At 40.5% G+C, this 27,970-nt stretch overlaps 1 long non-coding RNA gene across 1 annotated transcript; it reads right to left on the bottom strand.

Moving 5' to 3' along the window:
* Positions 1 to 401: 401 nt before the first annotated feature.
* LOC105377614 (uncharacterized) lies at positions 402 to 27,764 on the bottom strand. The gene is made up of 3 exons (XR_939634.2): positions 27,649 to 27,764; positions 20,248 to 20,431; positions 402 to 559 (listed from the first exon to the last, which is right to left on the bottom strand). It is a non-coding gene; the product is annotated as an uncharacterized LOC105377614 (long non-coding RNA).
* Between the last annotated feature and the right edge of the window lie 206 nt (positions 27,765 to 27,970).

Here is a 27,970-nt window from a genome sequence, read left to right as displayed (position 1 = left end):
ATAAAGCAACCCCTTCCCCATCTCCCGTCGCTGACTCTCTGTTTGGACTCAGCCCATTTGCACCCAAGTGAATAAACATCCTTGTTACTCACACAAAGCCTGTTTTGGTGGTCTCTTCACACGGACGCGCTTGACATATGGTATCTATATAAAGGGCCACAGTTACTGTGTTCTCAATGTATTTCATGTTGTATATGGTTTGAATTTGACAGGGAGGCTGGTATATTGTTGCATAGATTCTTCTGGAATTCAGGGTTTGTACTTTGCCACCTGAAAGGGCAATTTCAGGTGCCATTATGCATATGTTCTCATTTAGGTTAGTTAACGAGCTCCTGTTTCCTTAGAAGGGTTTCTGCTCCTTGGGGGCGTGAAGTATGCTTTCTGAGAAGTTATTTGCTTACCTTAGAATTGCACCCATTATGATAATCACAATGTTCCAGGGATCCATAGAACAAAGTGGTAGGGTCTCATCTAAATGATAGCAAACATTTCAGCTCGGGCTAAACACAGCCCAGGAAGGAGTGATCCTCAGTGCAGAGCTTCGCGTGACGATGCCAACCTGGAACGGAAGTGAGGGAGGTTGTCGCATTACCAACGAAGGATTTGAGAATGAGGGACAAAGGAGATTGAGGTCATCCTTTCACAAGAGGAAGAAACTGAAACATTAAACATCGCTTGTCTGTGTAAAAGGTTTGTGACATTTCTCTTCAAAGAGGTGTTATTGCTCTGAGCTGGGTGGCAGCTTGTGCCCTGGTCAACTGAAGCCAGACTCCTAAGGGTTAAAGGTGATTATCTGAATAATCTTTTCTCCTCTTTATCCTGCACCTGCCAGCCTTGAACATTCCAGCACATTCCACTCAAATGCATATCCCATTCAAGGGTTAGAGGCTTTTTAAAACCAGGTTGCAAAGGTAAGAGGAGGGGAGCAAGGCTGTTTCTAAGTGAAGAAATTGAATGCACCTCACAATAATATTGGTTATCTCTTGGTGACGGTTCTAATGATCCCGAGCAAGGGCTAGAAGATGTAAAGGAAGATTGGATGGGCATCAAAGTAAATTCCACTGATTTGACCTTGTCTATAAGTAATTAACAAATATTTTGATTGTCTCCTGTGTTTCCGGCATATTTCAAGCTGATGAGCAAGAGATACTAAATCCTGCTTTCATAGACCTAATATTTGCTCTTGATAGAAGGGGGGAAAGACTGAAAAAAAATAAAAAGAGAGAGAAGGAGAGACTATCAAGTAGTGACTCAAACAGGGTGGTAAGTCAAACGGTGGATGGGGTAGTCAGCAACGACTTCCTAAGTGAACTTGGGACTGATGGTTGAATGATCATAAAGGGCAGGCTAAGCTCAGAGACAAGACTCTTGCCTCACTTCATCTAGGCTGCTTATATCTGGTTTATACAGTGGAGTAAAATCTTAGAAACTACTAGAGTAGATAATATTGAGAGACCCCCAAGTCTTGTAAAAGTCTAACATGCAGGCAGCCTTAGCTTTTTTTGGATGGTAGAGTGAAGATGCTAAAATTTTTGTGACAAAAATAATTGTATCTTTACTGAACACTCACTATATCCTGGGTGTTATCTACTATTTAATTCAATTCTCACAACAATCTAATAGGTTAATGCCCATTGGTTGGTGATCCAGCCCCCGTTATTTTTCCATCTACTAATTTTTGGGACATAGCATTTCTACAGCAGAAATGCATTTACATGGCCTCTACCTGTGTGGTTGCATCTATCTATCTATCTATCTATCCATCCATCCATTCTCCCATCCATCCATCCACCCACTCACCCACTCATCTGACTATCTGTCTTCTGAAATAAAAGTTTAATAAAATGACATTTTCTTTTTTTGTAATATATTTGTATAATTTCAATTATATCCTGGTCGATTTCTTTTTTAAAAAAATGCTGGTAATTAGTAACTAAATTTATTTTACAACTTATTTTTGTAAATCAGTGGCATAAATAGTAGCAGTTATGTGTCTGCATTTTGCTTTAGACTGATCTGTGTTTGAATTCTGGGCAGGTATTTACTAGCTATCTAAATTAGGAAACGTTAATTTGCCTTTTACTATAATCTGAATGTTTCCTCTAAAATTCATGTTGATATTGTTGGGCTGTGTCCCCACCCAAATCTCCTCTTGAATTGTAGCTCCCATAGTTCCCATGTGTTGTGGGAGGGACCTGATGGGAGATAATTGAATCATGGGGGCAGTTTCCCTCATACTGTTCTCTTAGTAGTAAATAAGTCTCACAAGATCTGATGGTTTTATGAGGGGAAACCCCTTTCTCTCAGTTATCATTCTCTCTTGCCTGCTGCCATGTAAGACATGCCTTTCGTCTTCTGCCATAATTGTGAGGCCTCCTCAGCCATGTGGAACTGTGAGTCCATTAAACCTCTTTCTCTTTACAAATTACCCAGTCTCAGGTATGTCTTTATCAGCAGCATGAAAACATGTGTTGGAAAATAAACCTTCAATGATACAGTGTTGGAAAGTGGGGTCCAGTAGGAGGTGTTTCAGTCATGAGGCTTTGCCTCATGAATAGATGAAGGCTGCTATAAGAAGGGCTTGCTGGAGTAGGCTTTCCTGCTTCTATTTCCTGCCATGTGACATCACAGTGTTCCTCCTCTCTAGAAGACACAGCAACAAGGTGCCAGCTTGGAACCAGGGTCTAAACCTGCTGGCGCCTTGATCTGAGACTTCCAAGCTTCCAGGACTGTGAGAAAAAAAAATCACGGTTCTTTATAAGTTATCTAGTCTCAGGTATTCTGTAGTAGCAACACAAAATGGACTAAGACATTTTTTAAGGCTCTGCTTTTATCATCCATAACACGGATTAATAAAAGTAACTATCTCAAGGAGTTTTCATGGAGACCAAATGATAAAATGCATGTCAGGCATCTGGCACAGTGAATGGAATAGAATAAGTGCTCAAAAAATATTAGTCATCTTAGTCAGCTCAGGGTGCTGTAACAAAATATTATAGACTGGGTGGCTTAACAACAGAAATGTATTCTCACAGTTCTGGAGGCTGGAAGTCCAAGGTAAGGGTGCCGGGATGGTCAGTGTCTAGTGAGGTCTCCCTTCCTGGCTTGCAGATGCTGCCTTCTCCTCACATGTGGCAGGTGGTGGGGAGCAAGCTCTCTGGCATCCCCCATATAAGGGCACTAATACCATTATGAGGGCTTCACCCTCACAACCTCATCTAATCCTGTATATTTCCCAAAGACCCTTTCTCCAAATGCCATTACACTGGGAGCTAGGGCTTCACCCTCACAACCTCATCTAATCCTCTATATTTCCCAAAGACCCTTTCTCCAAATGCCATTGCATTGGGGGCTAGGGCTTCACCCTCACAATCTTATCTAATCCTGTATATTTCCCAAAGACCTTAACTCTAAATACCACTACACTGGGGGCTGGGGCTTCATCATTTGAGTTTAGGGGGACATAATTCAGTCCCTAGCATTAGTTAGTGTTTATTTTTATTGTCCAAATTTGTTTCTTTTTTACAAATTCTTACATACTTTTAAGCATTATTTCCAGCTATTTTTCCTACTTCTCCACTTGTCATAATCAACTCTGTAAACAACAAATATAGTTTATGAATTTTGTCATATTCATATGTGTGTTTCATTTAAAATGAAGTTCAATTTTATACTTAATGGTTAATATTACTATATTCTGATATAGTGAAGTAAAGGACTTCTAAAGCAAAATGTCCTAACTTGAGAAAAGAGGGGCCATTGACAGGTAGGTCTATTTTGCCTACCTTTTGTCCTTAATTGTAAATAATACAATGAATCAATGAGATAATACCACTATAAAAATGTCTGAATTATGATTTGTTTTCAAATATTCTCCCCATTTTTACCTAAGATTGCATGACGTTAGGTTCCTGAAAATTCACAAAGTGACATCATAGACACTGGTGATCCAGACATTGGCAATGAGTTAAAAGGCAGTAAATGATTCTAGGGAGGAATGGAACTTATCACTGAAATAATAATTTCTGATTACCTTTGATCAGTCAGAAACTTTTGGACTATAAACTCCATAGATGGACCACTTTTATATGTATTTTGAGTTTGATGGTTTTGTTTTTTAGTTTGCTTTATTGTGTACGTGAAAACAAAAAATAAGGCCTAAAGGAAGTGAATAGTTGATATTTGGATAAATCTCTCAAAATGTTAAAACTTAATATGTAACTTAAGTTAAATATAAAGCTATAAAATGTATTCATAATTAAGTGCAATTTACACTTTAATGCCTAGAAAGTAGGAGGCATTTTATTCATTTCAGTGTAAAGTGCTGTATTTTCCTTTCTTTGCTATTTCTAATGAACATTTGTATGTGAATTGTCCAGGTGTTACCTGGAATACTATTTTCATTAATACTCATGTTAAAACAAGGAAACAAATTTTGATAAAATATACCGTGATAAAATTCTACTTGCCATTTTTTTTTTAAAGATGACCGCTAGTTGTAGGCTAACAGTTACATAATGACATGATTTAGTGGCCCCTGGGTTAGCCCCATGTCAATGGGCTTTGGCGAGACTCATAAGCTCCAAGGAAAGAGACACAAAGTGCCATGCTTACTATTGAAAATCATAAAGTTCTTGAGTAGATATTCAAAATAATAATATGCATTCCTCAATATAATAGCATTTGTTTTTGCACTACAATTGTCATATTGAATATTTAGGAATTGTTGGTTGCTCCACAAAAAGTTTATTTTAAATGTTCAATTCTGGTTCATTTTCATAATAGTTTACATAGAGAATTAACATATGTTAAGGATAAAAATTCTTGTAAAGGTCACTTCAGAACTAATGCTTGATTGTAAGTCGTAGTATACATTTCCAAAAATAGAAAGTGCAGCGTATCTAGTGGTTTGGGATGTTACACTTAGCTTGTGAATGAAATACTCGTAGTTTTGTCTTCATTTAGGTTGACCATTATAATTGAGAGATGAAAGATAACTGGAAATAACGACTACTATTGTACAATGCTTTAGAACTGACAAATTTTAGAGTGTCCTACAGATTATAGCATTTGATCTTCATAACATCCTGTGAAATATTAATATTACAAAAATGATAAATGATTCAAACACATCAGTCATTTATCAGTGTTTCCTATGTGTTATCCCACAACTAACTTATAGATCACTTACCATTATTATCTGTACACATTAAGTCTCCTGCCCAAGCTTTATGGCTAGTCAATGGCAGATATAGAACTTGAACTCTTGTCTGTCTGATTTCAAAACTGTGCCCTGAGCCAACCATATAAAATCAGCTTATTTAACTGAGTGGAAAGAAGCCTTCAAAGCCTTATGGCTAACTCTGGATGCTTGAATAAGTGCAAAGTGCGAGAAATAATAGAACTGGTCTACGTTGCTTTAAAGAGGCAGGAAGATTGCTTGAGGACAGAAGTTTCAAATCAGCCGGTCAACCTAAGAAGATCCCATCTCTATAATTTTTTTTTAATTAGCCAGCTGTGGTGGTATGTACCTGTAGTGCTAGCTACTCGGACGTCAAAAATGGAAAGATTGCTTGAGCCCAGGAGTTTGAGGCTGCAGTGAGCTAAGAATGTATCACTGCACTCCAGCCTGGGTGACGGAGCAAGATTCTGCCTCAAAATAAATACATTAAAAAAATAAAAATAAAAATGAAAGTAATACCTCACCAGGACCCATAGGGTTAAAGGGAAAGCAAATTTCAATGCAATATAAGATAGAATATTCTAATAACTAGTGTTTCTCAACAATAAATCACCACTATTGTGTTTAAGTGTTCTCCCTATCACTGAAGTGTGCAAACAGATGTTGGATAACAATCTCTCAGCAAAATAGAGAAGCAATGTAGGTATCTGGTGTGATTTAGACTGGGTTCCTAGGTGGCCTTTTGAAAATTAGATTCTATGCTTGTGTATATACGGAAAATGGACTTATCACTACTGGGCATGTTGCAATAAGGTAACTGCAGAAAGAAACTGACTATGGAGGGCAAGTATGACTTTTGCATTAAATATCCCTCAGATTCCAGCATAGAGACTTGTGATTAAAAAGCTATTCAAATAATTAAATATAATTATTATTCTTTTATTTCTCCTTAGATGTAAAATGTAAAAGATATTCATGAGAATATAAGACTAAAAATAATGGGTGCTTAAAAGCTTGTGGGAGTAATGAAAGTACCTGCTGGAATCTACAGAGTGCCTCATCATTACTAAAGATTACAGTTATATATGGCACATTTTGCTGCCAAGCTGTGTTTTACAGCAGAGGAAAGACTTGCATATCGGACACTGGAGGGCACATAGGGATTACGTAAGCAAAGGATAGATAACACTTAAGGTTTCTCATCTCACATTATTCTAGAATTGAAGACAGTTTTACCATTTTTTTGTTGTTGTTTGAAGTGAAATGACAAATATCTTTGTGATTCTATATATTTCTAACTCATACACTTTTTATATTAAGAATATATCATGTTTTTTGGCAGTGAAATCAAGATGTTTTATGCCTGAGAATATAAATATCTCAACAAATTATTTTTAGTTTATCTATTTTCTTGTGGCTTTCTAATTTTTACTTCCAGTACTTTTAGTTTTGTTCCTTTTAAATTTTAATATTTAAATAGAATCAAGCTCCAATTTACTTGTTTGAATTACTGTTTTTCTCCTATTATGCAAGTAACAAGTCCAAAAAGTAAATAGATAATTCAAAGAGTTCAGAGTAAAAAAAGCAAGAGCAAAGTCCATTCACCTGGCTCCTGGTCATTCCACAGAGCCCTCCTGTTTAGTTTTCTCCTGGGAGTCACGTTTCTGTCCCAGATATCATGTTCCCCCTTTACCTGCTGTATCAACCACAAGCTCTGCTGAGTGATTTCCTGGGACAACAGATGACAAGCTCAGCTGACTTTCTCTCATCTCACCTCACTTCTACACTTCTTCCTTCTCTTCCAAATATTTGGTAGAATTGTACTCAATTCCTTTCATTTGATATCCTTATAATATTAACACACTTAAATTTCAATGTCTTTATTTTATACCTTGACTACCCCCCACATAAATTCAGGATCTCAATGTCCTTCTACAACCCTCAACTTCAGAAATCTGTTCGTCAACAATTATCTAAAAATTTTAAAATTTTATAAGAACAGCATTATATTGTCTTCTCTGCTTTGTGTATAGATTGATCTAAAAATTGAAAACCAGTCAATATAAAAATAGCATGTATTTCTAACCATTATATATATACCAGTTGCTGCGTATAGATATATGTCAGAAGGAAAGGCTGACCGCTCAAAGGTGAATATTCCAAGTGCCATGTTTAAATAGGCTCTCTTTTAAAAAAATTTAGCTAATTTCTAAAAATCATATTACATTGTATTCTGTTTCATGGGGACCATGTGTCTTTCTGGTACTGTTTTATTGTTGCTTTCCCCAAATATTTTGATTACATTTTTTCTTCCCTCTTCTGAAAAATGATTATGTTTTTCTTTATCACTGACATCATCTTATTGCTTCATCATATAATTGGTTAAAGCAAATCTGCTGTCTTTGTGAAATTATCCTTCCTGAAGTCCTCTGACTTGGTTCACATTCAGACAGCTTAGTGGGCCTTGCAATATTGTCTATGGGTTGCAGAGATTGGAAGAAGAGAAGAGGGTCTCCAGGGCCCTGAGGGATGATGCTACTTAAATTCTGGTAAGAGGAGAATAAATCTGAACAAGAACCAGATAAAAAGTCACGAGATAAGTTGGAGCCAAAGCAAGTACATTTTTGCATACAGAAGCAAAGGAACGAACTTGCTCCAGAATTGAGAAAATGGTCAGTAGTACAAAATCTTTCTGAGAGGACAAGACAGATAAGGACTGAAATATATCTCTGTTCTGTGGTGGCATTACTAAAAGCTTATTTGTTAAAGTGACAGCCCAAAGCCAATATGGTGTGGGTTGATGAGCGAGTGGGGCATAAGGAAATGGAGACAAGTGTTGAAAGCTCTCCAGACTAACTTGGCTGTGAAGAGAGAGTAAAGATGGTGGCTGGGAGGGAGTAAATGGTGGAGTGGGAGATGATTTTGTTTGCCTGGGATTTGTTTCTGTTTTTGTCTTTTTTTTTTTTGTAATGAAAGTGGGCTGAGTATGATTAAGAGCACTAGGCAAATACCTAGTTAGAAGGATAGATTGAGCGTAAAAGAGAGAGAAGTAGTCTCTAGTCTCTACCAGGAGCTGGCACGCTTTTTCTGTGAAGAGCGGGTGGAAAGTGTCTCAGGCTTTGCAAGCTCTACAGTATCCGCTACCACTAATCAATTCTGCCCTGTAGCCACATGCGACATGTAAATAATAAGCATGGCTATTCTCAATACAAGTTTATGTATAGATACTGAAATTTAAACTGTATGTAATTTTCATGTCATGACATATTATTTTTAAATTTTTTTCCAATCATTTAAAAATGATAAATGATAAAAACCATTCTTAGCTCTGGGCCATACATAAACAGGCAAGGACCAAATTTGGCCTATTCTCTGGTCATGTTAATTGTAAGTTTCCTGAGTATGTAGATAGGACTGGGATTTTTCTCTCTCTTTTTTTTTTTTTTTTTGAGACGGAGTCTGGCTCTGTCTCCCAGGCTGGAGTGCAGTGGCACAATCTCGGCTCACTGCTACCTCCAACTCCTGGGTTCAAGTGATTGTCCTGCCCCAGCCTCCCTACTAGCTGGGATTGCAAGCATGCGCCACCACACCCAGCTGATTTTTGTATCTTTAGTAGAGACAGGGTTTCGTCATGTTGGCCAGGCTGGTCTCGAACTCCTGACCTTGTGATCTGCCCGCCTTGGCCTCCCAAAGTGCTGGGATTACAGGTGTAAGCCACCCTGCCCGGCTCGGGATTTTCAAAGAAAAGGTAGAGGGGATTAGCCTTAAATTTAGGAGAAAGGTTCAAATTCTGACACTACCATTATAAACTGGGTGACCTTGGGAGACTCACTGAGGTGTTTTGGGCCCAGGTTTCACATGTGGATAAGCACCTACCTCATAGCATGGTGGTGGAGAGTAACTGAGATAGCAGGCATGATATGCTTCCTTCAAGGCCTAGAGCATCAGTCAGCATTATATAGTAGATTAGTCTTTCCTTCCACACAAATACAAGGACAAATATGTGTGAACTTTGGGATATTTGATAAATTATAAACTTTCAAAGTAAAAATAAAAGCAATCCTATGACTGATGATTAGCTATTGTGTGAAAGGAGAGGAGAGGGAGTTTTGTTAAAATGCATTACAAATAAATTTTAAGCAATAAACATGAGCATTATAGGAGAATAAATATAACTATGTATATAGGTAATGACATATTCTCAGAGGAGATATGCATGAACTGAGAATTATTCCAATTGCCTGGTTAATCCTGCAGAGCGGGGATCAGCAAACGGGGCCTGGACCTACTATTTGCCCACAAGCTGAGAAAGTTTGTACAGTTGCAACAGAGAATGCACGGGGCCCAGAAAGCTTAACATTTTCACTATCTAACTTTTTATAGAAAAGGCGTGCTAGGCCGGGTGCGGTGGCTCACGCCTGTAATCCCAGCACTTTGGGAGGCTGAGGCGGGCAGATCACGAGGTCAAGAGATCGAGACCATCCTGGCCAACACGGTGAAACCCCATCTCTACTAAAACCACAAAAATTAGCTGGGCACGGTGGCACCTGCCTGTAGTCCCAGCTATTTGGGAGGCTGAGGCAGGAGAATCGCTTGAACTCGGGAGATGGAGGTTGCAGTGAGCCAAGATTGTGCCACTGCACTCCAGCCTGGGTGACAGTGTGAGACTCTGTCTCATAAAATAAAATAAAATAAAATAAAATAAAGTAAAATAAAGCATGCTAATCCCTGTTCTGAAGCTTCGTTCAGGCTCCAGAGTCTAACCTAATCTCCTCTGAGTCAATTACTCTGTGTGGTTGGTAGAAGAGCTTCTCAGTTTACTATAAAAGAATTAAAACATATTTGTTTGCTAATTTCACAATATTTCCAAATGAAATCATAATAGTAATGCAGACAAATCTTAAGAAATTTTATTCAACTTTTAATGTCTTTTTCTCTTCTACTCAATTTTTATGATTAAATATTTTTAATGAATTCCTTCCTATATAAACTATCAATGTGCAACTGCAAAAAAATAGATTTCTAAAAGTGAACCTCAATTATATAATGAATGATGGTGATATATATTTACTGTCAATAATTTATATAAATTCATTGAGCTCTTGTCCTTTTTTTGCAACATTTTTCTTCCTTTTGCTTTCTCATGTAATAGCCATGAGAAATATCAAGACACCAGACTATTACATAGTGTCTTCATAGTTATTAAAAATGATTTGTTTTAAAACAAATCCAATGACATTGAATAAATAGGATTTGAGGTTTTATGTACACAATGTTATCTTCTCTTATATAAAGTTATATGTGTCATTGAAACAACTAACAATGTAAAATAGGTTGACAAGTACAAAGTTATATCTGGGAGGCTGATTTTACAGCTTTAAGTATTTGTTTAGTATTTTCTTCACTCTATTCTTGTCATACTCTTTGGATCTTTTATGTTTCCCTTGAAAAATCTGTTGAATATATGAAACCTGTTGTTAGATTCTTCTATAAAAATGAAATTTTGGAGATATCGGTAGTAGGTCTGTGAATATCTTCTAAATGAAAAGTGTTTGCTTTTACTTTTTGGTGTTTAATTCAAGAACATCAGAACGTGGCCATTGTGTATAATCACCCAACTTAGGCTGTGTATTTCTCGAGTGGGAGTTCAAAATAAGATGGTTTTTTTTTTTTTTTTGAGGCGGAGTCTCGCTCTGTCGCCCAGACTGGAGTGCGGTGGCAGGATCTCGGCTCACTGCAACCTCCACCTCCGGAGTTAATGTGATTCTCCTGCCTCAGCCTCACAGGTAGCTGGGATTACAGGTGCCCACTACCACACCCTACTAATTTTTGTGTTTTTTAGTAGAGACAGGGTTTCATCATCTTGGCCTCCCCAAGTGCTCGGGTTACCACACCTGGCCACAGTAAGATGATCCTTTGATGAGAGAATTGGTCGTGTGTTCTCTGCACTTTTTTGTTTGGTTCGGTTTTCAACCAATGTCCCCCACCCCCTACCCACCCCTGTTTTCACGTTGCAGATCTAAAAACACATCATTGCCTTTATTCTTATTATTTATTTTGCTATCAAGGAACACCAGACCAAGTACTGAGCACATTCTCTCTTGCACTCATTTTGTGTGTGCTTGCAGGTGTGTGTGCTTGCAGGTATGTGTGCTTGCAGGTGTGTGCTTGCAGGTGTGTGTGCTTGCAGCTGTGTGTGCTTGCAGCTGTGTGTGCTTGCAGGTGTGTGTGCTTGCAGGTGTGTGCTTGCAGGTGCGTGTGCTTGCAGGTGTGCGTGCTTGCAGCTGTGTGTGCTTGCAGGTGTGTGTGCTTGCTGCTGTGCGCTTGCAGCTGTGTGTGCTTGCAGGTGCGTGTGCTTGCAGGTGTGCATGCTTGCAGCTGTGTGTGCTTGCAGGTGTGTGTGCTTGCTGCTGTGTGCTTGCAGCTGTGTGTGCTTGCAGGTGTGTGTGCTTGCTGGTGTGTGCTTGCAGCTGTGTGTGCTTGCAGGTGTGCGTGCTTGCAGCTGTGTGTGCTTGCAGGTGCGTGTGCTTGCAGCTGTGTGTGCTTGCAGGTGTGTGTGCTTGCAGGTGCGTGTGCTTGCAGCTGTGTGTGCTTGCAGCTGTGTGTGCTTGCAGCTGTGTGTGCTTGCTGGTGCGTGTGCTTGCAGCTGTGTGTGCTTGCAGGTGTGTGTGCTTGCAGCTGTGTGTGCTTGCAGGTGCGTGTGCTTGCAGCTGTGCGTGCTTGCAGCTGTGCGTGCTTGCAGCTGTGTGTGCTTGCAGGTGTGTGTGCTTGCAGGTGCGTGTGCTTGCAGCTGTGCGTGCTTGCAGCTGTGCGTGCTTGCAGCTGTGTGTGCTTGCAGCTGTGTGTGCTTGCTGGTGCGTGTGCTTGCAGGTGTGTGTGCTAGCAGGTGTGTGTGCTTGCTGGTGCGTGTGCTTGCTGGTGCGTGTGCTTGCAGGTGCGTGTGCTTGCAGGTGTGTGTGCTTGCTGGTGCGTGTGCTTACGGGTGTGTGTGCTTGCAGGTGTGTGTGTGCTTGCAGGTGTGTGTGTTTGCTGGTGCGTGTGTTTGCAGGTGCATGTGCTAGCTGGTGCGTGTGTTTGCAGGTGCGTGTGCTTGCAGGTGTGTGTGACTGGCGTGTTGTTGTCCACATTTTGAGAGGGGGAAAATTATTTTTTTCTAGTGTAATCTCCTTTCAATTTATTTTTCTGTTCTGAAAGAACAAAGGAACTATTATTAAGTTCAAGTACTAAGAATACTACTGTCCAGATTAAGTAAAGATAATCAGTTAGTTTGGGGGATGGGAGAATTAGTCAACTATACCAAGCTGCAGACATCTAATTATTCTGTGTCTTCATTCTCCCCTTCTTCCCTTTAGGATTATAACCCTCTGAACTGTTGTAGGGCTCTTGGCCACCCTAATAGAGACCACATCTGGAGCTGTGCATGTAAACATTGGTGACAGACACACAAGTGAAAATAATGTGTGTAAATTCCAGATACATATATGAAAATAAGCGGTTTGCCCTGCACACAGCCTTTCTCCCTGTCCAGGGTCAAGAATGTGGGAGTGTGGTGGTGATCTGAGTTCCAGTGTGCAGGTGCAACACACTCAATAACAGCGCATGAACCAACGCTATATATATATAGAAGTCACCTAGATTGGGGGAAGCACTATTGAGAAGGTATGCCTCACTGCCCTCTACTGCCTGCCCACGCATGGACTCCCATATGAAACAGAAACAATCTTCCATCTTGTTCGAGTGATGTTATTTTTGTCTCTTTATTGCACCGTTAACCTTTACCCTAACTCTCACCGTTCTAACCATACCTGCTATCCCATAACCTTTTTCTTTTTCTGGGATCCCTCCAGGTGCTTCCGACCCTCTGAGAAACATCAGCCACATTGCTAGGTTTGTTGGAGTGATTTCCCTCTGGCCAAGACTAACTTAAGATCTACGCTACTATGGGAACAAGATTAAATCTTAAATGCAAAAATCATTTTTAAAAATTGTACACCATATATATGGCATATGTATGTTATATACACACATCATATATTTGTATATACTATATATGTATATACTATATATTTGTATATACTACATATCATTTTATTCTAGCTGTCCCAAAATACATATACAGTGTGAACATGTGTCTCTTATTCTTACTCTTTTTTTTTTTGTGAGATGGAGTCTTGCTCTGTTGGCCAGGCTGGAGTGCAGTGGCATGATCTTGGTTCACTACAACCTCTGCCTCACAGGCTCAAGCGATTCTCCTGCCTCAGCCTCCCAAGTAGCTGGGATTACAGGCATGTACCACCATGCCTGGCTAATTCTTGCATTTTTAGTAGAGACAGGGTTTCACCGTGTTGGCCAGGCTGGTCTCAAACTCCTGACCTCAGGTGATCCAGCCCCCCGAAGTGCTAAGATTACAGACGTAAGTCACCACACCCAGCCTCTTATTCTTTAAAATCAAAGCATTGCTAAAACTAGAAATGAATAATAGGATATCTAGATTTTAGTAAATTTTACTGTTAATTGCTATTATTTTGTATTTCTCTGTGAGCTTCAATATTTAGTAAATAATATTGTCTCAAATATTAATGAAAATATCAAGTATGGTTTAACATGTTTTCTCAGTCCTGGTATCATCTCTCTCCTTGACATTTTTCAGGTTATAAATATCACAGAATATGATAAGATATGCTAATAGATTAATAAAGTAAGTCATACTTTATACTATGAAGATATCACTAAGGCTTTTATTAATATGTTTCTTATTCCTTAATTTAAGAATTTAAATATAAATGAAAAAAAATCTGATAAATCCCACCTTCAACAGCGTTGGCTGAAAATGTTAATCAGTCTGACACTCCTCACAGTGTAACTTTAAAATGCCTTTAGAAGCTCTGGTAGTCCCTGCCATTGGCAGAGGAGGGGAGCCCTATGTGTACTCATGCATTGAAATATGTAGTGTTCCTATTTTTTTTTAGTACTTTGAACTTTGCTTATAAATGACACAATTTTGTGATTCTCTTCCAAACTGTTGAAGTTGAGAAGCCATAGCATCAATTCCAGATCAGCAGCCTCTCAGTTTTAGGTCATGAGATGTTTTAGAGCAGAAATACGATCTGATTAATCTTTTTATCCTCCATGGCTGGCACAGTCCGTATTATACAGCCAACACTTCTTCATTCAGGAAACAGTTAGTGAATGCCTTCTTTGTGTCAGGAATTATCCTAGGAACTGGTGAGAGAATCATGAACAGACAGACAAAGAGGGAACACACATTCTTCTAGCAGTAGGAAAAGAGAAAACAAAAAAATGAACAAATAAATATACACAATGCACAATTGCAGTAAGAAAAATTAGGTCAAGCAGATAAAAAGTTTCTTGAGTACACGGCAAGGGTGGCCACAACTGGCCTGTCTGAAAAGGTCACATTTGAACCTAAATAAAACAGATAGGGAAGAACATGTAGTGGATTGAAGAGGGCTGCAAATTGTGTCCTAATCCTCCCCTTGAAAGGTGTTCTCAGAATCCTCCCCTGAACCTTGCTGTGATGTACAGTCTATAGAAGAAACCATGCTCTGTGAGTTCCCAGGTGGGAACCTTGGAGATCTGTAGCTTCCACTGTTATGATCCTGGAACATTCCTTCTTGTAACGCAGCCACCATGTTATAAGAAGTTCAAGCCACATGAACAGGCCACATGGAGGAGGACCTACCTCCAGCTGAGCATCCAGATACCAGCTGCTACCAGCTGCCTGCAGGTGAATGAGCCATCTGTTGTGTTTCTGCTCAGTTGAGCCTCCTCCAGGTGAGTGCGTCCCTGACACCACATGTGAAAGAAGAACTGCCCAGCTGAGCCCAGTCCATCCAGAGGATAGTGAAAGATAATACATGTCTTTATTGTTTTAAGCTACCAAGTTTCAGTATGATTTATTACACAGCCACATGTATCTAAATCAAGTATTTTAAGACAACATAGAGCAAATGCAGAGGAATCAAGGTGAGATTGTACTGGGCACTTTCCAGAACAGCAAGGAGAGCATTACGATTAAAGTGAAGTTACTAAGTGGGAGAATTTTAGCACAGGGAGCCAGAAGCAAGATCATGTATGATCTTCTATTCCAGGAGTCACCAAACAATTTGGTCCACAAGCAGCCTGCACTGGGTTTGTAAATAAAGATTTTATTAGTGCAAAGCCACACCCATTTACTTAAGCATCTTCTGTGGCTGCGTCCATGCTCCAGTGGCAAATGTGAGAAGTTACAACAGAAGTCACATGGCCCTACGTAGTCACATAAGACCTACGCTATTTATTACTTGGCCACATTCAGAAAAAGTTTGCCAAACCCGACCATTGGAACCCCTTGCAGTGCTCGAGCAGAGGACTGGCATGATATGGCTTATGATTTACAAAGAGCTTCCTGGCTGCTGTGTAGAGAATTAACTGAAATGGAAAAGACAGAAACAGGGAGAGTATTAAAAAGGCTGGAGTCATAAGATGACTAAGTACAATTGGTAGAGGTTGTGAAAATTGGTCGATGCAAGATATAGTTTGAAGGCTGTATTGCTGGCTTTTAGGTTGATTAGATGTGACCAACTTCAAGGATGACTCCAGATTATTTTGGCTTTAACAACTGATCAATTCAGCCAGTAAAAAGTAGTTGAGTAAATTATTTTTGATATAGCAATTGCCAAAAAGGCATATGTTTTTGCTATACCATGTAGCTATATTTTACTTGTTTTCAAATGAGATTAATTTGTCAATAGTGAGTGTATAAACCAATATTTCCATGGAAAGTCTGGACAGACAACATTACTTTTTCTATTACAGCAACACATTTTGTTGTTGAGTTTTCATTTGCTAGGACTGAACATTCATCTGTGGGACCATTCCCTGAAAGCAGCGCACTGGGGCATCAGGAGAGACAGCCTGTAGGGTTCCTGCTATGTCAGCCGTCGGTCTCTGGAGGAAGTCCCTCTAGGTCTGAGGGTCTTGTATGTTACCAGGTAACCACTAATGGTGCGGTTCTTTGTCTTTCTTGGGAGTGATTTGTCTATTCTTAACCATTTTGGACATGGTTGCTTAAGCACACTAACAAATCGTAACATGAAGAGACACTTTTCAAAAGAAGGCATACATGCAACCAGCAAGCATATGAAAAAAGGCTCAATATCAGTGATCATCAGAGAAATGCAAATCAAAACCTCAGTGAGATACCATCTCACACCAGCCAGAATGGCTTTTATTCAAAAGTTAAAAAAAAAAGAACAGATACTGACAAGGTTGCAGAGAAAAGGGAACTCTTATACACTGTTGGTGGGAGTGTAAATTAGTTCAATCATTGTGGAAAGCAGTGTAGTGATTGCTTAAAGAGCCAAAAACAGAACTACCATATGACCCAGCAATCCCATTACTGGGTCCATACCCAAAGGAATGTAAATCACTCCACCGTAAAGACACATGCATGCTTATGTTCACTGCAGCACTGTTCACAATAGCAAAGAGAGGGAATCAAGCCAAATGCCCATCAATGACATAATGGATAAAGAAAATGTGGTATATACATACCATGGAATACTATGCAGCCATAAAAAAGAATGAGATCATATCCTTTCCAGCAACATGGATGGAGCTGAGGCTATTATCCTTGGCAAACTAATGCAGGAACACAAAACCAAATATTGCATGTTCTCACTTATAAGAAGGAGCTAAATGATGAGAACACGTGGACACAGAGAGGAGATCAACAGATACTGGGCCTGCTTGAGAGTGGAGGGTGGGAGTAGGGAGAGAATCAGAAAAAAACAGCTTTTGGGTAGTAGGCTTAATACCTGGGTGATAAAATAAGTACCTGGGTACAACAAACCCCTGATACACAAGTTTACCCATATAACAAATATGCACATATACCCCCGAACCTAAAGTTAAAAAATTAAAAATTAAAAAACAAATTGTCACATTTGTACACAAATGGCCTACTAGATTCAGAGGGGTTCAGTAGAGGGAGATCATGTAAAAATAACTGCACGTTGAGGCTCAACAAAGGGAGATGCTCCCTAGGAAACAGGAGGTGACGTGCATTAGATTCACAGAAGAGCAGACCCCACAGGGGGCTGTGTGTACCTCTCCACCAACCACGCAGTCCAGGTGCGAGGAAATCGAATGTGGAAAAAGACAACTCGTTTAACAAGCGACCTCTCACTACTGAGAAGCACCTTGCTGAGGAATATAGGCCTATAGCTGTCACTTCCAAATCCAGTAACTTTTAGTTTCAACACCAAAGTATGTGACCTGGCACCTCTCAGGAAATGGGAACCTTCTGAGAACCTGGAAACTTTCCCTTGATTAGAAGCAACACTATGCTTCATGGAAGCAAATTCCTCCTGTTCACAGTGAACCCTCCACAAAGAACCCAGCAGGCAGCTTCCTGGTCCTCCTTTGAAGAATCAGGTCATACATTTGCTGCAGCTGAATCCCATGAAAGCTACAGGAAATTGTTGAAGTGTGTCCACTCAACACAGGGCTCCTCAGTAAAGTTCTCATTTCTCTCAACAGGGTTTGTGTGATGATTTTTCCCTAAGGGCAGAGAAGGCGGACGAGAATCAGGCAGACAGTAACAAAGTGTCTGGGGGATGTGGCATAATGAGAATTGCTTCAGGAGGAGGAGCACTGGGCTCCCAGGCAGAGCCCAGGGCCTATGGCTGTCATTAAATGTGTTTCTCTTACCTTTGAAATGTTATCACCAAAAATGCAGGACTAGCACAGTTCTGCATAGTTTTTTGAACCAAATGAAAAGATGAGCTTATTGGTGTGTAACTGCAGCACAGCTGGGAAAATTAAAAAGAACTCAAAGAACTGCTGTTATCTCCATCTGATGGCAGCACCTCCACCCTAACCCTAAGACCGCCCAGTGGGAGCAGGAGGCTCCCGCCTCTGGAGTGCTGAAGATAAGAGTCGTCCCAAATCACAGCCCGAAATGAAAATTGGTATCAGATGCAATGATTGAGTACTGACAATTTTTCAAGCTTAGGAATGGCGTTTCTTTGCAGCTGCAAGGCTGACTTTTGTATTTATGAGCTCTTGGTGAGTACTGCGACAGGTTTATTATTTGTTGGCTTTTTCCAGCATTGCACGGTAAAAATTGTTTTCAAAGAGTATTCAAAAGCGAAGCTGGCTGTCACTGTAGCAAACCAAACCCATCCTCCGATATATTTCACTCCCTTGATTGATAACTGGCTCCATGGTTTGGCATTTCAGGAAAAGACTAGAAAGAGAACAAGTCTCTGAGGTCATTAATGCTTGTTCTCCCTCAGGCTCCCTTGGGCAGCTGCTTGTGTCATTATCCACAGTTCTTACCGCTGATCTCAACAAGTCCTTGCTGGCCCCAAACACTGGATTGTCACCAGGTAGCCTTTGCATTTCCTGCACTCCTCTTATTCTGATCACTGCCTCCGCACAGGTACTGAAGGGGCTGCCTCCTGGGGAGAGTCCTCAAAGCCCCAGGTTTGGTTGGACCCTCAGATCACAGCTTTTCAAAAGGAGCCTTCCTGGCAGCTTCCCACACTCAAACGAGGAGCGGAAAGCGGTGAGAACTCTTTGCTGCTGGAAGCGGCACAGGACACAAGAGAGTGTCTAGCTTGAAATGGGCGTTCACCTGCGCATCCTGCGAATCCGTTTCCACGGCCATTTGATGTCATTATTCTTGATGTCCCACCTATTGTGCCGTGAGTTAGCACAGAGGAGAGCCATCACTGTTCCTCTAGTTACAGCATCGAACAACCTGCTCTGCTGTCAGGGAGAGAGGCTGTTATTTTCTATTGCTGTAAAAAAGCTCAGTGCCGTGGATGAAATGTCAGGAATCGTTAAACCAAACCAGCCCCCGAAGAAAGGGCAGTCAGTGATCATGAAACTGGGATCTCTAATTAACCAGAACAGGAAACTTGGGGAATTTGGGCTGCATGTGTGATTGGAGGAGTGTGTGGAAGTCTCCTCAGAGCCCTTCCCTGGTTTGCCTCATTTCAGAGATTCCTCGAGCTCCAGATGGATTCAAAATCCCTAATAGGTCTCAGATCCTGCTGAGGATTCAGCATAAAGTGTTCTTGTCACTTGTCAGAGACCTGCGGGTGTTGCCGTGGTGCTGGAAGAGTGAACTTTTGCAGAACATTTAAATTAAACACAAATATCCTTTCCATCTGTCCTCTATGGAATATGCTTTTCTAGGCAAAAGTGTTTTTTCCCCAAAATTCTTACTTTTCCAATTGGAGAGTAAGAAATCTAAGCCCTTCAAATTTCTTTTCTTTCTATTGAGTGCTATTATACTTTGTCTATAGCATTAAAGGATTTATTTTTTATTGCTTGGGGAAACAGTTCAATATGACATTATTAAATGATATGGAGTGGAAAGTGTAAACCAACTTTTAAATGTGCTTCAGTCAATGGAGGTAAATAATGACGGTTCGGGGATCCTTCCAGCGTCTTCGCTGACTGCTCAGGAGGCTTTGGGGTCTGGGGAGTCAAACGAGGAAACGTTGTGAGGCACCATCTCGGCAGCTGTAGGGAGAGCTGAGATTCGGCCTGACGTGGCTCTCCACCACCCTAGCATTCTCAACAACTTTGCAAATAAAACCTACACTTCTATTTGCTTTATTTTACATATAAATGTGTGTGTGTGTTTGCATGTGTGTATTTTCCCCCAAAATATATGTGAAAAATATATTTGCAAAAATTCTGTGGTAGGCTATCATACGAAAATATGGATTCTAAAGAATCTTTGCTATGCTCTGATTTTTGTAAAATCCATTTTATTGAGTTAAATTTATATATAATTTACCCATTTTAAGTGTACAGTTGATGGGTTTTGACAAGTATATATACTCCAGTAACCATAAGCACAATGAAATTATAGCAGTTTTCCAGCTCCCATCAAATCAATCCCCTTTGAAGTCAATCCCCTTCTCTAGCCTCAGCTCCTGGCAACCACTGATCTACTTTCTGTCCTTAAAGTCTTGCCTTTCCTGCAGTGTCACATAGATGGACCCACTTCTGCAGGGTGTTTGTTTCTGGCGTCTATCACTTACCATCTTGCTTCCAGGTTCACCTGTGCCGTTTTGCTGTCAGCTGTTCTTTCTCATTTGCTGAGTGAATTTCTCATGCAGGTGTCCCACGATACATTCGTCCATTCCCCAGCGGATGGGCACTGGACTGTGTCTCATCTCTGGCCATTAAAAATACAGTTGCTACGAATGTTTGTGCACAGGGCTCCTAGAAGCAGAGGAGAGGAAGGCACATGAACACAGACCGAGGGAGGGCAAGGAGGGAAGGCCATCACCTGCACATCAACGAGACAGACCCCAGAAGAAACTGGCCCTGCCAACACCTTGATCTTAGACTTCCAGCTTCCAGGACTGTGAGGAAATACATGTCTGTGGTTTAAGCCACTCAGTCTATGGTGCTTTGCTATGGCAGCCATGGCAAACTAATGCATTCACTCACTCCTTTACTTCATCAAACAATCATTTACAACAGCTCTCCTCTGCTGGGCGCCACTCAAGGCTCTGGGCAGATGGCATCCTGCTCTACAGAGCCAACCTTCCAGGGGTCGGCAACACGTAATAAAAGGAAACAAGCAAACAAGACAAAACAAGATGAGACAATCATGTAAGGTTAGACGCTATGATGGAAAGAAAACAGGAGACTGTGCTAAGCAGGGATGCGGCCACTCGGGACTGGGAGAGCAGGAAGGTGGCAGAAAGAATACAAAAAATTTTAACCCCAGAGCAGAGCCACAGGAGACAGGCCTCGAGGTGACCCTGGGAAGAGGACACAGGAAGCCTGAGCTGCAGTGACAAGCACAAGGGAAGATGCTCAGCCACTGAGTGTCAGCTTGGTGTCAAGCTCCATGCGCCAGACACTGTCACTGTCGTCACAAGGATGCAGGATCGCTACCTCCCCCTTCACAGAAGGGGAGACTGAGGCTAACTGGGGGCGTGTCCTTCCCACACTCTCCCAAACCCACAGACCTGAACTCACACGGGAATGTATATCTTGGGGGTAACCAAAGGCTTTTCAACAGGTGCGAGACTTCGTATAAGAGAGATCACTTTCAGATCCTAGCTTCATTTTAGTTTCTCCTAAAATTAATCTCCCTGAGAACAAGCCTGACATGAAAGAACTGGCCTTTCCTTTCCTGCCTCCCCGTTCCCAGTTGGAAAGCACGTCTTCCCAGGTATGAATCTTTCTGGGAGCCTGACCCAAGTTATAAAAACCTGGAGTAGCCCTAAAGGAAGGACGAGGGATATCACTGTTGAGAGAGTTCATGGCTCTGATGACGACTGCATGAAAATGACTCCGGGCCGGGCGCGGTGGCTCACGCCTGTAATCCCAGCACTTTGGGAGGCCGAGGCGGGCGGATCACGAGGTCAGGAGATCGAGACCATCCCGGCTAACACGGTGAAACCCCGTCTCTACTAAAAATACAAAAAATTAGCCGGGTGTGGTGGCGCGCGCCTGTAGTCCCAGCTACTTGGGAGGCTGAGGCAGGAGAATGGCATGAACCCGGGAGGCGGAGCTTGCAGTGAGCCGAGATCGCGCCACAGCACTCCAGCCTGGGCGACAGAGCGAGACTCCGTCTCAAAAAAAAAAAAAAAAAAAAAAAAAGAAAATGACTCCGATGACTGCGTGAAAATGCTTTCGTGGGCCAGGTAGGGTCCACTTCTTTGCTCTGGAGGAGAAGCTGCTAGATAATTACCTATGATTGTTGTTAATGTAAATGATTATGGAATTTTCAGCATATACTTCAAAAGGATTTAAAACCATTGAGTGACGTTGCTATAAACAAACTCCTTCAATTTCCATCTACTTGTTTATGGGAACAAGGTTTTAGAAATTACATCTATAAAAGTGAAAAGTAGGAATAAAACGGATGTTGAATCCGACCTCATTGTAGCAGTAACATCTGTGGAAATGTGACCCACTGGAAAAAATAAGCTCCATTCATCTCATGAAGAGATGCATTTCCAATAATAACTGACTTCAGGTTTATCAATCACTTAAAATCTAAAAAATATTTATGTGTTTTTAAAATTGAGTTCTAATAATAACCGTAATGATAATACAATTCTGAAGAACTTCTTAAATATTTACGTGACTTATGGTCACATGAAATACTAAGTATAACAAATTTAAATTTATATCTAGAATATTGCTTGCAGAATATGATTGGGTTATCAATAAAAGACTTTTAAGCACAAGTATGTTACATAAAAAAAATTCTGTGAGGATGAAAATGGATTTAAGGAGAAAAAAGCAATGTAAAATTTCTGGCTGTGAGAAAAGCTTATTTATAAAGGCTTAGTTTTATATAGTACGTAAATATCACTGGATATACTTAAGCTAATAATGTAATCAATTATTTAAATTTTTCAGTATTAAAATAGGCTGGAAATTAAATCCTTTACAACTGCCTGAATTTAGGATAATTTTTTAAAATAACCAACTCATCTTCAGTGTTACCAGGTCAATGCTTGGGTCCCAATCTCAGTGTACTTTCGCCTATGTTGACTTCTTCATAGGACTCATAATCTTATTTATATAAGATATAGCCACCCTGAGACTACTTAGTTCAGAGTTGCTCTTTGACCATCTATTCCTCTCACAGTCTTAACCCTTTCCACTCCAGTAAACATTCTTCTTGATGGCTTATATTATAAATTGCAATGTGACTAGGGCTGCATGTTTGCATGAGGCATGGAGCAAGATATCATGCAGTGGTTGTAACTCTGCTTCTAGATTCTAGATTGGGATCCAGATTCTACATCTTCAGAGCTGGTTTTTGGACAGTTTTAGTTTTTAACTTTTTTGTGCCTCATTTTTTACATTTTGAAATGGGTATAATCATAGCAGCTACTTCATTGGGTTGTTGTGAGGAGTGAATAAGTTAACACATGTAAAGTGTATAGAGGTGTGATTAATACATAGGGTGATATTGTTATTAATTTTTATATGGAGCTTGTAGAGTTGCTCATTACTTTATAGACACCTGTGTAAGTCAGTATCTATGCATGCTGTAAGACTCACTAAAACTTAGTGAATGCACGTTATCACATTTTTTAGAATTGCTAATTTGGCCTTTGATATATATCCATGCAAAATACCTTTAAATTCCATACAGCGTAAGCATTTCGTGTAGTGTTTCAATTTCACTTGAGTACAAAGTTTATCTACCTTATTTTTCAAACTATTTTTTTTGTAACCAAAGACATATTGTCCATAAGCAATGTGAAGCCTTTTTATGATTGTGAAAGAATGACTTAGGGCTTGTCTATTTAGGGTGGAATTTAAAAAGTTATCAGATTACTTAGTGAGTGATCAGCATCCCCTTTTCTTTTGAATAGCTGTTTCTAATCTTGTGGTAAAAAAAAGAACTGATTAATTTCCTCCCTCGTTGTATACAGGAGTGAACAAAGCAATCAGTAATCAGAAGCTCAGATTTAAATCTTCTGTTGGGTGTGAATGGCAACTTTGTGCCCGTCTCTAACTTCCTTCACTTTCTCTGTGGCCGTCACACTGTGTCCCTTGCTCGTGGCGAATTTCCCTGCCCTCATTTTCTTTCTTTTTTTTTTTTTTTCCAATGTTACAGGCTAACCCAAGTGGTTAAAGATTGAGCCTGCATGTTGTATGTGCAGACACACCATGTCACCTGACCCAAATTATTGTTCATGAGGTCTCATCATTCATGTGATTTTACAAGACGCAGATAAAATGTTTGGAAATTCCAGTGCTTTCTGCCTTGACTACTCACTGTCTGCAGAGCAAAAGTCATGTAAAAATCTGTTTTGTTGCTGAAATATTGAAAAGGAGAGTACTGTGTAGCAATTATGACATTGTACTGGAATGATTTATATCATTACGTAATATTCCTTTTACCTAGAACACTAGCATATACTTCATATGACCATCTCTTTTGAAGTGGGAAGATAATCAAGACAAATATTAATGTTATAAAATCAGGAAATTATTTGCTTAGGATCTTTACAGCTGGTTTGTGGTGGACATGGCCGTGAAAGCAAAGTACTGCTCAATTTAGAGGGCATTTTGCTCATGCAGTGTCCATCAGCATCACCAATCCAATGTGGGCACGCCAGGGGATTATCAGAGCCCGTTCCTCGTTCACTCAGAAAGTGTTGCTGAGTATCCATGTCCAGGTGCTATAACTAACACATGCTGATGGTCTGGGTGCTTTTTTTTTTTTTTTTTAAATCCTCCAATTTTTCCCTCTCAAATAGCTGGGACCACAGTCATGCACCACCATGCCTGGCTAATTTCTGTATTTTTTTTGTAACGATGGGATCTCACCATGTTGCCCAGGATGGTCTCTAACTCCTGGGCTCAAGCGATACTCCCACCTTGGCTTACCAAAGTGCTGGGATTACAGGAGTGAGCCACTACACCCAGCCAAGGGTCCTTTTTAAAATTAACTTAATTTTAAGAAGCGAGGTTGGGCTCCTGTATTTTATTGAAAGTTAATCTAGTGCTAGCTAATAAATACTTTCATTTCAAAGAAAAGCCTGGATGATCTTTCATGTCTCTCTTTCTGAAAGATATTTAAATTCTCTGTTACTTCTTCCTAAGCAAACCAGATCTACTTGTTATAAGGCTATTTTTGTTGGAGAAATTGATACAAGTCTTTTTATTTATTTTTAACTTGTGGGGCCCTTTAATTTATGCCATTTCCTTTAATATGTGCAGGCACCATGTCCAACATATTATTGAAAGACTTTGGCTATAGAATTTCTTATTCTTGTTAGTGTGACTTTCTGAAAGCTCAATATTTGGTATGGCATTATAAGCATTTACTAGTTAACAAGACCTACTATTCCAAATTTCCTCTAATAATGAAAGTTCTTTTAGTTGTCACATTTTATATATCTGATATGAATTTAAATATTAAGTGGTGGAATATTTCATATTATTTTCTTATATTCCTAGTTATTAAATTTTAAATTATCTTACTTTTAATATTAAGTAAAATACTATTATTTAAATGTTAATTTAAAATTTCTATTTAAAAGGGTATTAATCAATTAAAATAGTACTAATTTTCTTCAATTAGTTTCGGATTAAGTCAAATAATACACGAAGGCATTTTAATTATAAAAGATTCAAGCAATCCACATAAAGTTATGTGAAGACCTTCACTCTTCTCTTCTTTTTTTAATCTACTCATTTTCCCAGAAGTTCCACTATTAATAGTTACTTGTGTTCCTTTTGAGCCTTCTCCTGATACATTATGGAGGGATCCGTGTTACATATATCACACACGCACACATTAATACACCAATTTTTAAGTACCCCTCAACTTGTACTTTTGGTGTAAAACATGGACTAAATTAGGATTGTCTATTTTTTGTTTTGTTTTTTGAGATGGAATCTCACTCTGTCACCAGGCTGGAGTGCAGTGGCGCCATCTTGGCTCACTGCAACCTCTGCCTCCTGGGTTCAAGTGATGCTCCTGCCTCAGCCTCCCCAGTAGCTGGGACTACAGACACGTGCCACCACACCCACCTAATTTTTTTTTATTTTTAGTAGAGACAGGGTTTCAGCATGTTGGCCAGGATGGTCTTGATCTCTTGACCTCGTGATCTGCCTGCCTCAGCCTCCCAAAGTGCTGGGATTACAGGCGTGAGCCACTGCACCTGGCCTCTCTCATTATTTTTTATTTATCCTTCTTGACACTCAGTGGCCCTTATAAATTTGGAGACTTGAGTTGTTTTTCAGCTTTTAGAAATCGATTTCTATCATTTCTGTAATTATTTCCACTTTCCATTGGCACTTCTCCCATGGGCATTTCTAAGATTTTGGAATATTCTTTGTGCTTCTAACTCTCAAACACTTTCCACATTTGGATCTTTTGGCTAGTTTCCTGGGAGAATCTTTTTAAAAATATTTCAACTAATTTGCTTTTCAATTGAGTGCATTTTACCTTTTAGATCACCCATGAATTTTTTGACAATTATATTTAAAAGATTCTGAGATCACCAGGTATTTCTTTGTAAGGTATAAATAATCTTCTCTAATATCCTTGTCATAATTAGTTACACTTGTTATATTTATTAATTAGGTTGCTGTTAGTGCTTCTTTCCATCGAGTTTGGTGTATTTGACTCCTGGCACAGGGTTTGCCCAAATGCTTGTGGATTTGTCTTTTCCTTTGAAATCCTTGTCCACTGGGCTCTTGTGTTTCTAGGAGTCAGTCATGGTCCATTGGGCTCTTGTGTTTCTAGGAGTCAGTCATGGTCTGTTGGGGTCTTCTGTTTCTAGGAGTCAGTCGTGGGTAGCAACTGCAGGTGAGGCGCTATTTGAGGGCTCTCAGGATGGATGAGTTCTTTCTCGGATGCTAGCAGCTCCCTGGGCACGCTCCTCATTCTCTTGCTCAGGAAATCTCACTTCCTGCCTTCTCAGGGGCAAATGCTCTTCCCGACCACTGCTCCGTAAAGGGGAAGAAGATGTAGGGGCCAGAGGGGTCCAGGTGCTTCTGTTGTGGTTACCATGTTAACTACCCACCACAACTATCCCAGAGCAGTTTTTATCTGTGGAGCCTTAACTCGGAGCTCCTCAAAACCCATGTCTAGTCAATAGCATTTTCTCATAATTGTCTTTCAGATTTCTTCCAGGCTGTTTTCCCCCATATTCTTTCTTTGTTGGCTTAATACACTTTCTTTCTTTTAGGAATTCTGCAGGCCTCCTGCTGTGGATTGAATATTTCTGTCCCTCCACAATTCTTATATGGGCCCCCTAGTCCCCATTGTGATGGTATTTGGAGACAGGGCCTTTGGGTGCAGATGTTATGAGGCCAGAGACCTCATGGTGGGATTAGTGTTCTTATGAGAAGACCATGAGAGCAGGCTTCCTCTCTGCTCCCCCTGCCACGTGGGACACAATGAGGAGACAGCACGTCTCACGCGGATGCAGCCTTCACCAGGCACTGCATCTGCCAGCGATTTGGTCCTCTCAGCCTACAGAACTTTGAGAAATAAATGTGTGTTGTTTAAGCCACCCAGTCTGTGGTATTTTTCGTTATAGCATCCCAAACTGATTTAGAGACCTTCTTATACTCTTTCTTGAATTTTTTTTTCCTTTTTTAAAAAATTCTATTATTTCATGAGAGGTAGGATAGAAGTGATTTGCTCACTCTGATTGTTGGCTGGTTTGTTTCTCTCCTGAATTTTCAGCAGTAAACACAGGGCACACCACTGGGCTACATTGTTCCTGAGGGAACTGGCTCACAGCAAAGTGGGGTGGACACAAAGGTTGTCGCATCTCCCCGAGGTTTCCAGTTCTGTGCGTTCTCCCACTCTGGAAGACTCAAGAATCTTAAAAATCATTTATGTGCAATTCTAAAAGATGAAGTAGTTATTTCCTGGGGGAGTCTACATTTTTGAAAGAATCTAAGTCACGTCTTAAAGCGTTGCACGTACTTACAAGCAATCTGGGAAAGTTACAGGCAAAGGTAAAGGGCCGGGAGGTCACAGGCAAAGGTAAAGGGCCTGGAGGTCACGCACATTCCCGCCAGTAGGCCACGTACACTGCCGCCACGCGGTCACGCACACTGCCGCGGGAGTTCACGCACACTGACGTGGGAGGTCACGCACACTGCCGCCGGGAGGTCACGCACACTAACGTGGGAGGTCACGCACACTGCCGCGGGAGTTCACGCACACTGACGTGGGAGGTCACGCACACTGCCGCGGGAGGTCGCGCCCACTGCCGCCGGGAGGTCGCGCCCACTGCTGCCGGGAGGTCG

This window comes from Homo sapiens, chromosome 4 (assembly GCF_000001405.40).
Source record: "Homo sapiens chromosome 4, GRCh38.p14 Primary Assembly".
NCBI lineage: Eukaryota > Metazoa > Chordata > Mammalia > Primates > Hominidae > Homo > Homo sapiens.
This window is presented reverse-complemented; position numbering and strand designations above follow the sequence as displayed.